The following is a 12,465-nucleotide window of genomic DNA, read 5'->3' as shown; positions in this document are numbered from 1 at the left end:
AAGATAAAGAGAGAGGAGAGGCAGAAAAGAGAGAGAGCAAGGGGAGGAGGAGAGGAGAGAAGTGAAGAGGGGACGGGAGAGTAGGAAAGCAGAGGAGAGGGGAGGGGAGAGAGGGAAGGAGAGGAGGCTGAAATATAAGAAACCTCACAGGTAAGCAATGTTGGAAAAAGTTGTTCATCGGAAAATTAATGTGTCTTATTGCTTGTCTCCACTACTCTTGTACACTCTCTTGCACCAAAGAAGAGATGCCTGGGAACTACATTTTCCATTGTCCCTTGGTAAAAGTTTCAGGTTAGATTGAGAAACGTTGGGCACAATTTGGAAGACAGAAGAGAAGACATGATTTTTCCACTGCACTTGTGAGAAGACACATAGGCACTAAGCAAGGTAAATATTGTGGCAGTTTCTGCTTGAGTTTCAGGGCATCATCTTTTCATTGCAGCTAGTAGTTTAGACACTGAATAATGGTTTCCAGCAATTTTGACACATTCTGAACATACGGTTGTCTACCTTTCACTCATTAGCCCGTCCAATAACAAATAAGATTTTCTAATTCCCTTACTGATTAAAATATGTCAAACAAAGTGTGTTTCTAGCTAGAACACCAACGACACTGTATTTAGTAGCTGTATTTGGTACCAGGAAACAGAACCAAAAGTTAGAAATTTGGTTTTAATTTATCTCCCCATGTTAGGTGGAGTGTTTTTGTCATGCTTTGTTTTGTTTTTCACCTGTAGGCAATGGGGTACCATTAGCTCACAGTAGACAAAGGAAGTAGAAGTTTCTAACATTAGTGCCTTTTCTTTGGAATGTAAACTAACCATCTCCTCTGAGAAGGTAAGAGGGTCTATATAGTTTCACTGCAATGGATTATAATAACCATTTCCTGGGACATAAATCTATAAATCATTACGAAGTAATACACAATCTCTAGCTTACAGGGCACATACAATCAATTATTTTTTCTTTATTTTGAATTGACAAGTATAAACTCTCTATGTTTATGGTGTACATGATGTTTTGATATACGCATACCTTGTGAAATGGCTAAATTAAACTATTTAACACATCCAATATATGCATTACCTCACATAATTTTTTCTGGTGAGAACACTTGAAATACACCCTTTTAGAAATATATCTATAATATATTGTTATTAACTGTAGTCAGCATGAGGTCAATAGATTTCTTGAACTTGTTCATCCTAACTGAATTTTTTGTGTTCTTGCCCAGTGCTCTTTGACAGAAATCCCAGATCATGAACATACATGAAAATATTCATGGAGAATTGTCTCCTACCAAATTTTATGGAAAACTCATATTTCAAAAAAAGACACGTCTAAGAATGAGGTGTGTAATTAAGAATTTAAATGATATTTGATTTCTTTCTGTGATTTTATTTCAATTATCTCCTGAAATAAATAGATTGTAGGGTTTATATAGAGGTTTAGTTTTATTGGTGAGTGAGGAAAAAGGGACAAAGAAGTTCAGATAATTGGTACCATATAACTATTTTTATAGATCATGAAATTTAGTCTAACTATGGAGAAAAACAAAACAAAACAGAACCATGTTAATGGTAGTGAAAAAAATGTGTTGGAATAAAAAGATAAGTCATGGCCTTTGAGATCCAATGATGAAATTTGGTAGGGCAGCCTGTAAGAGTGCTCTCTGTCAGTGAGCTGATAAGGTGACTTAAAAGAAATAAAAATAAACATATTTTTAGGTGTATTGTTAGAGACAGTTTGAGTTTTCTGATGATAAAATTTACAATGTTAATTTCACAGAAACTATAAAATGAGGAGAAAACATAGTAAGAGGGTAACAAGCAAAAGTACAGACAATTAATACACATGGTTGAGCCTAGAGTAGAAATAACCAATTAGTGAGTGCATTTTACAGAGTGGAAATGATTGTAAACAGCCAAGGTAGTTGACACTTTTACAGAAGTTGAGGTAACCCATATGAATTGTATGGTGGAATTTATTGAGATAATAATGAAAAACTAGTCCTCCAGGTACAATTTTCAAGGCTTTTTTTTTTTTTTTCTGGGAGTGGCAGATAAAAAAACAAACAAGCTATCGATTACCAAATCATGGTCTGTGTAATGGTGGAGGTGGCTCATAAGCATGTTAAAGTAATCTGCTTCGTCTTCAGATTCTAGAGAATAGTACCCTATGATAGAATTAATATTTGGGATTTAACTAAGGCTTGGTTGGACTTCTTTCCCAAGATTTCTAAATTCCCTTTGAGTTACATTCTATTTTTCCAGTTTCACAGAAGAAGAAAAAAGATGCTTAAACCATGTTTGAATTGTAAGCAATACCCCAATGCTTAAATCACAGTGAGCGGCTCATCTTGCTTCTCTTGTTCTTTTAATTGTGATATTAGAGTGTTGATTTGAGATATTTCTAGCTTTGTGATGTAGGCATTTAGTGCTGTAAATTTCCCTCTAAACACTGCTTTAGCTGTGTCTCAGAGATTCTGGTACATTGTCTCTTTGTTCTCATTGATTTCAAAGAACTTCTTGATTTTTGTCTTAATTTCATTATTTACCCAGGAATCATTCAGGAGCAGGTTGTTCAACTTCCATGTAGATGTGTGGTTTTGAATGAGTTTCTTAATCCTGAGTTCTAATTTGGTTGCACTTTGGCTTGTGAGACTGTTGTGTTTTCAGTTATTTTGCATTTGCTGAGGAGGGTTTTACTTCCAATTACGTGGTCAATTTTAGAGTAAGTGCCATGTGGCACTGAGAAGAATGTATATTCTGTTGTTTGGGGTGGAGAGTACTGTAGATGTCTATTAGGTCTGCTTGATCCAGAGCTGAGTTCAAGTCCTGAATATCCCTGTTAATTTTCTGTCTCGTTGTTCTGTTTAATATTGACAATTTGGTGTTAAAGTCTCCCACTATTATTATGTGGGAGTCTAAGTGTCTTTTTAGGTCTCTAAGAACTTGTTTTATGAATCTGGGTGCTCTTGTATTGAGTGCATATATATTTAGGATAGTTAGCTCTTCTTGTTGAATTGTTCCTTTTACCATTATGTAATGCTCTTCTTTGTCTTTTTTGATCTTTGTTGTTTTAAAGTCTGTTTTGTCAGAGACTGGAATTGCAACCCCTGTTTTTTTCTGTTTTCCATTTGCTTGATAAATTTTCCTCAGTCTCTTTATTTTGAGCCTATGTATGCCTCTCTGCATGAGATGGGTCTCTTGAATAGAGAACACCAATGGGTTTTGACTATCCAATTTGCCAGTCTGTGTCTTTTAATTGGGGCATTTAGCCTACTTACATTTAAGGTTAATATTGTTACGTGTGAAATTGATCCTGTCATCATGATGCTAGCTGGTTATTTTGCACACTAGTTGATGCAGTTTCTTCATAGTGTCATTGGTCTTTATATTTCTGTGTGTTTTTGCAGTGGCTGGTATTGGTTTTTCCTTTCCATATTTAGTTCTTCCTTCAGGAGCACTTGCAAGGCAGGCCTGGTGGTGATGAATTCCCTCAGCATTTGCTTGTCTGAAAAGGATTTTATTTCTCCCTCACTTATGAAGCTTAGTTTGGCCGGATATGAAATTCTGGGTTGAAAATCCATTTCTATAAGAATGTTGAATATCGGTCCCCACTCTCTTCTGGCCTGTAGGGTTTCTGCTGAGACATCTGCATTAGTCTGATAGGCTTCCCTTTGTAGGTGACCCAGCCTTTCTCTCTGGCTGCCATTAACATTTTTTTTTTCATTTTGACCTTGGTGAATCTGACAATTATGTGCCTTGGGGTTGATCTTCTCATGGAGTATCTTAGTGGAGTTCTTTGTATTTCCTGAATTTGAATGTTGGCCTGTCTCACTAGGTCGGGGAAGTTCTGTTGGATAATATCCTGAAGTGTGTTTTCCAGCTTGGTTCCATTCTCCCTCTCTCTTTCAGGTACACTTACCTGTTGTAGGTTCAGTCTTTTTACATAATCCCATATTTCTCAGAGGTTTTGTTCATTCCTTTCATTCTTTTTTCTGTAATCTTGTTTGCATGCCTTATTTCAGCAAGATAGTCTTCACATTCTTACATTCTTTCTTCTGCTTAATCGATTTGGCTATTGATACTTGTGAATGCTTCAAAAAGTTCTCATGCTATGTTTTTCAGCTCCATCGGGTCATTTATGTTGCTCTCTAAATGGGCTATTCTAGTTAGCAGCTTTTCTAACATTTTATCAAGGTTCCTAACTTCTTTGCATTGGGTTCGAACATGCTCCTTTACCTCAGCAAAGTTCGTTATTTCCTACCTTCTAAAGCCTACTTCTGTCAATTCATCCATCTCATCCTCTGTCCAGTTCTGTGCCCTTGCTGGAGAGGTTTTGCGATCATTTGGAGGAGAAGAGGCACTCTCTCATTTTGGGTTTTCATCATTTTTTCGTTGATTCTTTCTCACCTTCATGAGTTTGCGTAGTTTTGATCTTTGAGGCTGCCGTCCCTTGGATGAGGTTTTGTGGGGACTTTTTTTGTTGATGCTGTTGTTGTTGCTTTCTTTTTGTTTGCTTTTCTTTCAGTAGTCAAGTCCCTCTTCTGTAGGGCTGCTGCAGTTTTCTGGGGGCTCACTTCAGGCCCTATTCATCTGGTTTGCTCCTGCTCCTGGAGATGTCATTCAAAGACACTGGAGGACATCAAAGATGGGTGCCTACTCTTTCCTCTGGGATCTCTGACCTCAAGGGGCACTGACCTGATGCCATAGGGACACTCCTGTGTAGGGTGTCTGACAATCCCTGATGGGGGTTCTCACACAGTTGGGTGGCACAGGGAGCATGACTCGTTTTATGATGCACTTTGGCTGTCCCTTGTTAGAGGAGGTGTGCAGTGCTGCCCACTCATCTTGGCTGGGCGGATGTCTCAGAGCTAGCAGGAGGAAAGACTAAGTCTGCTGGTCTGCAGAGTCTATGGCCACCCCTTCCCCTAGGGGCTCAGGCCTAGGGAGATCAGAGTTCTGTCCCTCAGCCCCTGGCTGGAGTTGGAGTTTCCCTGGGAGACCCTGCAGCCCCAGTGTTGGCTGCTGCCCCTCCCACAAGGATCTCAGATGACTTAGACAGCAGGTAGCTGCAGCAGTGGTGATGGCCACTCCCCTTGCCCCCACTCCCAACCTGGGGAACTTGTAGGGCTTAAGACAATTCTACCCAAGTGAGAGTCTGTGCGGCTCTGCGGTTGGGACCCAAGACCCCCATGACATGGGCTCCCCCCGAGTGGGATCTTCGAATCCGTGGGTTGAACAGTTCCATGGAAAAAGCACGTTTTCCCAGGTTAGGTAGCATGCTCATTTCACCACCTCCCTTGGCTGGGGGTAGGGAATCCCCTGCCCCATGTGGCTCTGAGGTGTGCCGCTGCACCACACTGCTCTTTCTTCCTTTCCGTGGGTCACGCCAACCGCCTAATCAGTCCTAATGACAGTACCTGGATACTTCGGTTGCCGATGCAGGATCACATGCTGTTTTGCATGTTTTGCATTGGAGCCCCCAATTATGGCTGCTACTAGTCGGCCATCTTGGCCCTACCCCCTACTTGATACTTAATTGGGTGTGTGTTTGACTGTATTCGTATGTGTGCTCATGTTTTATTCACTCAAAACACAAGGTAGGTAAATATTGTTAATTTTAAAAAAGTATCTATTTTATAATTTTAAATTAAAATATAAAGTTATACAGTGAGAAAATACAGGAATGATTCCTATTTTTATTTCTTCTATTAATTTTTATTCCAACTGAGATTAATTTGATTCATTCCTCTCAGATGTTAAAGATAGCATAGTGAACTCACTTGCAATTCTCATATAAACCAAATGAAAACTTGATAAAAATCTTTTCATACGATATTCTTATGTAAGCTGCCAGCACTCAGTGTGAAAGAGCATTGGTGTCATTTATATGAAAAGTCTTTCAAGTCGATGACAGAACTGGGCCAGAAGCAATGAGAATAAATTAAATGATAGTGGCTGTTCAATGGCTATTTGGAACCATGGTACAGACACCACATGCCAGTAGCTATTATTTTCTCCTTTATGTGGACCAATAGAAACAACAACAACAAAAGGCTGTTTTTCATATTTTGAAAAAGTATAACTGTCATATTTGTATTTTTAACCTATCTACATTGATCAAGACAAAAATATGTCTTCTTATAGTTGATACCAACAAAAGGATAAATCACTTTTAATTAAAATTGTTTTACTATTTTGTGAAAACCAATGCATAAAACTGTGTGGTTGAGATGACACACAATGTGCTTAATTTTGTTTTCAACTGTTTCTTTGTACCAAATAGCTTCAACTCAGCATTGAAATGTATCAACAGTTTTCTTCTCATACATGATTTGGCCCAATACTCGACGTACCCACCTCAAAGCTTACTTACTTGCTTATGTTTTTTATATATCTTACTATATTTCTTAATAAGATCTCTTTCTGAAGGAGCTCTTTATACCGGGAATATTCTCTTTAACATTTCTTGATCCCAACAAATTCATTCTACACAAACACAATTCTGAAATCCATCTATGCATTGATATCATCATTTCCCCCTCATTGTTGTAGCCGTTAATTAGATTTGAGTGCATATGCCCATCTACTACTCCTTTTCCCAGATTCACAAAATTTCTGCACTCCACTCTCTCTTTTCCTTATTGTTTAGGTATCCACGTCTGATATTCACTATTATTTGAACAGCTTAGCTTATCTCACATTTCTTATATTTTTCTGCCCAAATGAACATTTTTTCCTCTAGCACTGAAGTGTTTTTAAGGTATTTTTAGTCAGACACTGCGCTGTAACATGAACCTGTGTGATCTTGATGATATCTGTGTTCTCTTTTTGGTTATGAATAATATCAGTAAAAATTTTTAAGGTAATAGTTGCTATCATTTTAATGAGCCTTCTACATGTCCTTTGATATATTCCCTAAATAATGTATTCTAGCAAGTGAAGAAATTATGCATCCTTTTTTTTTCTCCTGTTTTTCACATATTAGGGACCTGAAACTCAGGGATAAAAAACATGTCCAATTTTAACAGATAGTCTGTGGTGAAGAGGAGAATCACACTGTGACCCTTTCTCCGTCCACATCTTTATACTGCCCTTAAAAACTTTTTTAGACAAGGTCATAAAATAGTTAAATTTATTAGTTTTGCTTCCTGTAGTTGAAAACAAAATTTTGATTTAAGTTTCTACTTGAGATTCATATTTTTTATTGGCCCTTTCTGAAGATCTCTCTCTTTCCTGTGCTGCATATTTGGTTTTAATTTGCTAGTATTTTGCTAGTTTTTAAAGAGAAATCTTAAATCATGAATTTGATACTTTAATTTTTTTAATATCAACAATGAGTGCAATAAATTTTCCTCTAGTTATTATTTTAATTTGTGCATTTGATTCAAAATGGATTCTAACTTGCCTTGTATTTGCTTATTTGACCCCTAAGTTATTTTAAAATATGTTGTTTAATTTCTAAATATTTTATGATTATCCAGGTATCTCTGCTATTTATTTCTACTCTCATTACCTGATAGTCAAATAATATACTCTGCTTGAAGTCAACCCTCCTGAATATAGTGAAGTTTTAAAATTAAGAATATGAGCATTTGAAATATTTCATGTGTACTTGAAAAGTATACGTAGTTTGTTCCTTGAGGGAAGAATGTTCTATAAATCAATTAGATCAAGTTGGTTGAAAATGTTTTTGTTGGCCTGACTCTACGATGGTCTCTGAAGATTCTGCTCTTGAAATTCACACACTTATGTAGTTCTCCTCCCACATGGTGTCATAATTGGCTTATAATAAATAAAATACAGCAGAAGTGATGGTACCTCACTTCTGTCATGAGGTCATGAAAGGCAAACACTACAGCTTCTGTGCTGGTTGCTCTCTTGCTTTTTCTTGGATCGTTTGCTCTGGGGAAAATTAAACTGCATAGTGTGACCAGCCCTGTGGAGAATTCTATGTGGTAAGAAATTGAGACTTCCAGGTAAAAGCCAACTGACACACTTGGAAGCAGATCCTCCAGTTCAGTTATACCTTCAGACAACTGCAGCCCCAGCCAACCACTCAACGGTTTGATGAGAGACTCAGTTAAAATCATCAGGGCAATCCACTACTGATATTCTGACATTCAAAGACCTTGTGATAAAATTAATGTTTCACTAAGTAAAAAATATTTTCTAAGTTCCTTTTAACTTTCTATTTCACTGATAGATTAATTAAAGCTATATCAGATAATTGGGGATTTTTCAGCTATCTTCCTAATATTGATTCCTACTGTAACTTAGTTTTGGTAAGAGTATTTCTATAATTCTAATACTTATTTGATTTGTTGAGATCCATTTTATTGGAAAGAATCTGATATATTTTGGTATGGCTTATGTGTACTTGAAAAATATGTGTACTCTAGTGGTGTGGTAAGTGGTAGGAAATTTTACTAATATCAGTTTGGTAAAATATATTGGCTGGGAGAAGTGGCTCATGCCTGTAATCCCAGCAGTTTGGGAGGCCGAGGGACACAGATCACCTGAGGTCCCGAGTTCAAAACCAGCCTACCCAACATGGTGAAACCTTGTCTCTACTAAAAGTATAAAAATTAGCCAGGCATGGTAGTGCACGCCTGTAATCCCAGTTGCTCAGAAAGCTGAGACAGGAGAATGGATTTAACCCAGGAGGCAGAGGTTGCAGTGAACCAAGATCACGCCATTGCACTCCAGCCTGGGTGACAAGAGTGAAACTCCATTTTCATTTACTTTTCTATTAGTTACTGAGAGAGGAATGTCAAAACCTCCAAATGGTGCTTAGTCTCTCTTAATTATTTTTAATAGAATTTTGATTTATTAATTAGATCAATATATCTCATATATACATTCATGTATGGAAATATATGTGTTTATACTGAATCTTGTAATTTACAGACATCATATCATACTATTTATAAATAATTTAGTATGTAGTTTGTTAGATTAAGAACACTCTCATGTAACCAAAGTATACATATATGTATCAAAATGAATAACTATACTATTATAATATTTCATGATGATGGAATTATATATATATTTATATTATATATATTTATTATATTATATATAATTATCTTATATATATATAACTATCTTATAAAGCTATTTTCTGTCCTGGTATAATATCCAATCTAGGATCTGGTATTACATTTAGTCGTCATACACCTTTCATCTAAAACAGTTACTTAATGTTTGTCTTTCAAAATTTTGATTTTTTAAAATAACAGTCCATTCTCTTTTAACACTCTCCTCCATTTTGTTTTGCCTAATATATTATGAATCAATTATTTTTACAAATGTGATTCAATATTATTCTCATTGCATAATATCAAAATGTGACTTTGTTTTATCTTTAGTGATGTTAAAAGAGTTACTTATATTTAAGTTTGAATTCTCTAGGTTAATCTACAGTAATAGTATTATATTTTCTTTATTTTAAATGGGTATTTTGTGACAAAATACTTTGATACTACATAAAGTTACAATACCTCCTCAAAGTTAGTTTTAGCATCCATTAATAATTTTGTTAGTACGAAATTAGTATTAACAAAATTATTATCATTATCATTGAAAAATTGTGATTTGATAAATCTTTTATGCTTTCCACATTATCAGTCAGAATTCTACTTTTTATTCATTTGTACATTTACACAATCATTTATTTATTATTAGTAATAATAAATACTTAATATTTATTCTATTCTGTGAATGTCACTTGCTAATTTTAGACATCTTGAAAGAACCTATGCAAGCTGAAGATATGACATGGAATATTAAAAAATAATATGTATATATATGTTTGTATGTGTATGTGTGTATGTATGTGTGTTATAGCAAAAGTAGTATATCAACAACTGATAAATCTTAGTAATAGAATATAACATTTCTTTGTATTATTTTTAAATTTTTCTTTAAGTGTAAAATTATATGAAAATAGACATTTTTTAAAATCACATTAATAGCAATATAATCAATAATCAAAACTTTAGGGTAAAGATTCAAATATTTTAATAAGATAACATAGAATAGCAATCCAGAAATCATTTAAAAAAAATTATTAGAGCAGTTTTACTAGCTTTTTGTTGTTCACACGGAGATAATGATCACAACAGATGACTCCACCAAATCTGATTATCTGATGACCCATCCAGTGGGTGAAAAGTCACTTTTCTTCTATATCTCATACATGCTTAAACTTAACACAAGTCAGTGGTGATGCTTATGGAATTAGCAAGAAACACTGGAATACTTTGTTTTTTAGAGTTTACATTAACTCAGTAAAATGTATTTCCAATATATGACATTAATATGTCAGGTGCTCTGTGCATTTTATGGTTTATGCATCTATTTATCAGTGAACCATTTGCCCCAATCTACAACACTGGATCTCTGAGCCTAGAACTGGCACCTTTTTTCGATGCATTTAATCTTGTAAAATGAAACACTATTGTGCCTTGAGTGAAAGCCTAGATAGGAATATTTTGATTTAGTTTTGTTTATAACATGGCTAGTGGGAATTTTTTCTTGTTTTTGCAATTTCTTAATCTATCCATACAAATATCTAGGATGCTTGAGTTTTTATCTTTTTCTGTTTGTTAATTTCACAGGCCAAGCTACATTTGACAGCATTTCTCCCCTATCATTTTAAACTGAAAATCCCAAGACTGATAAAATTTCAAAACTAAGCTGAAATAAGAAGAAGGAAAATAGTGTTTCCGGTGTTTATCATTCCACTGGCCCAACAACAACAGCCAATCATATTCAACTGAAATAATTTCAAATTACTTATTTAATACTAGATGTATGCCAACTAGGATATTAGATATAAAAATACCAAGTAATATAATTTATGTCTTTAAGTTCAATAGCTACCAGGGAACATAGACATGTTAACAATTAATTATAAAACAATCCTAGAGTGTCTTTTTTAATTGTGTTTACAAAGTTTTATCAAAGCCTAGGGGAATCAGTCACTTGGTTTTACACAAGTTATTTGGTCAAGTGAACTTTTTTTTTTTTTTTTCACAGATTGAAGCATCTGACTATTTCTAACACTGTGATCCACAGTATTAAGACAATTAAAATGCCATATTTAGGGAATATATAAATGTATTATTTTTCTTTATGCAAATTTCAAGTTGTTTATTATATTCAGAATGAGAAACATTACAAATATAGAAAATGCTGCAAAGTCAGCTTGGTTTTTGTACTTTCATATGAACTAGTCTCTGAGTACCCAGATTAATTAGCTAATCACTGCATTGTCAAGTCTCTATAATGCTCTCTGCTGTATCCTATCACTGACTTTTTCTGGGTTAAGATTTATTTTGGGAATTGAGAGCCAAGGCTGGAACACACTGAACAGAGTGTTCTATTTCTGTGTGAAATGATAGATGTTGCTCTTGCCCAGAATGAAAATGCTTTGCACTGCTCCCAATCTGTAAATTGTTCCATTTGCTTGGCATAATAAGTATACTGATGTATTTAATTCTGTCTACCAGGCCCATGCTGTTCAATTCCCCTCTGCTAGCCAAATATACCAGAAGTCATAAATTTCTCTCCAATAAGGAAACTAAATGTGATCTCTTCTATAAGTAAAAGCAGTGTTAGTGTCCTGTTATTATTTTTTGGAGTTACCGTATGTTTTAAATCCAAGATTAGCAAAAGATTTGTTATAATCTTTTCACTTTTATCAACTACTTAGTCCAGCAAACATACCGACAAAATAATTGTATATGCTCAAAGGTACAGTCTGTGGAAATGATTCGATGTTTGTATAACTACCACTTTCTTTCAAAATGAACCTTCATTTTGTTCTCTCCTTTTCACATACATCAAATGAAAAAAAGACTGTTTTGACTTCATATATTAAAAGATGAAATGACTCAAATATTATATTCAGCTATGCTATATTATATGATTTTGCTTTCTCCTGTATTATGTTTCTTATTTTTTTCCTTAATAAGCACAATTTGCCGTTACAGTTCTAAAAAAGGAGCAAGTCTCACAGGAACAAGGTTTGGGGGGTTTAAGTGTTATTGGTTTCCCTTTCATTTTCATATGAACAGAATCACACCCAAGGACTTACAACCTAAGAAGGTGATAGCAAACCATGGCACGCTGGTCCCATTCAGACCTTTGCCCCAGTTCTAAAACAAGTTTTCTTGGAGGCATTCCCATGCATCTACACGTTTTCTATGGCTGTTTTGTCACTACTAAGGCACACCATACTTTAAAAGCAACAATTTATGGTGTATAAATCACTTTATGACTGTAAAGCATCAATGTGCCAACTATAGTACAGTGGCTGATCATATGGAAAAGTTTACCATCAATGTAGTGGAAAAGTGCCCTCCCCATCTTGGTGTAGGAATGTATGAGATTTAATATTTTTAAGAAAATAATTTAATCTACACAGTTTCCTGAAGCCCAACAAAGT

The 12,465-nt window shown here is 35.1% G+C and overlaps 1 long non-coding RNA gene across 1 annotated transcript; it reads left to right on the top strand.

Annotated features, from left to right (window-relative positions):
- The first annotated feature begins 255 nt into the window (after window positions 1-255).
- Window positions 256-11,905, top strand: LOC105370299 (uncharacterized). The gene is made up of 4 exons (XR_931620.2): window positions 256-387; window positions 738-837; window positions 1,235-1,351; window positions 10,634-11,905. It is a non-coding gene; the product is annotated as an uncharacterized LOC105370299 (long non-coding RNA).
- Window positions 11,906-12,465: the final 560 nt, after the last annotated feature.

The sequence above is a fragment of the Homo sapiens genome, chromosome 13, assembly GCF_000001405.40.
Source record: "Homo sapiens chromosome 13, GRCh38.p14 Primary Assembly".
Lineage (NCBI taxonomy): Eukaryota > Metazoa > Chordata > Mammalia > Primates > Hominidae > Homo > Homo sapiens.
Note: the sequence above shows the minus strand (reverse complement) of the source record. Positions and strands in the feature narration are given on the sequence as shown.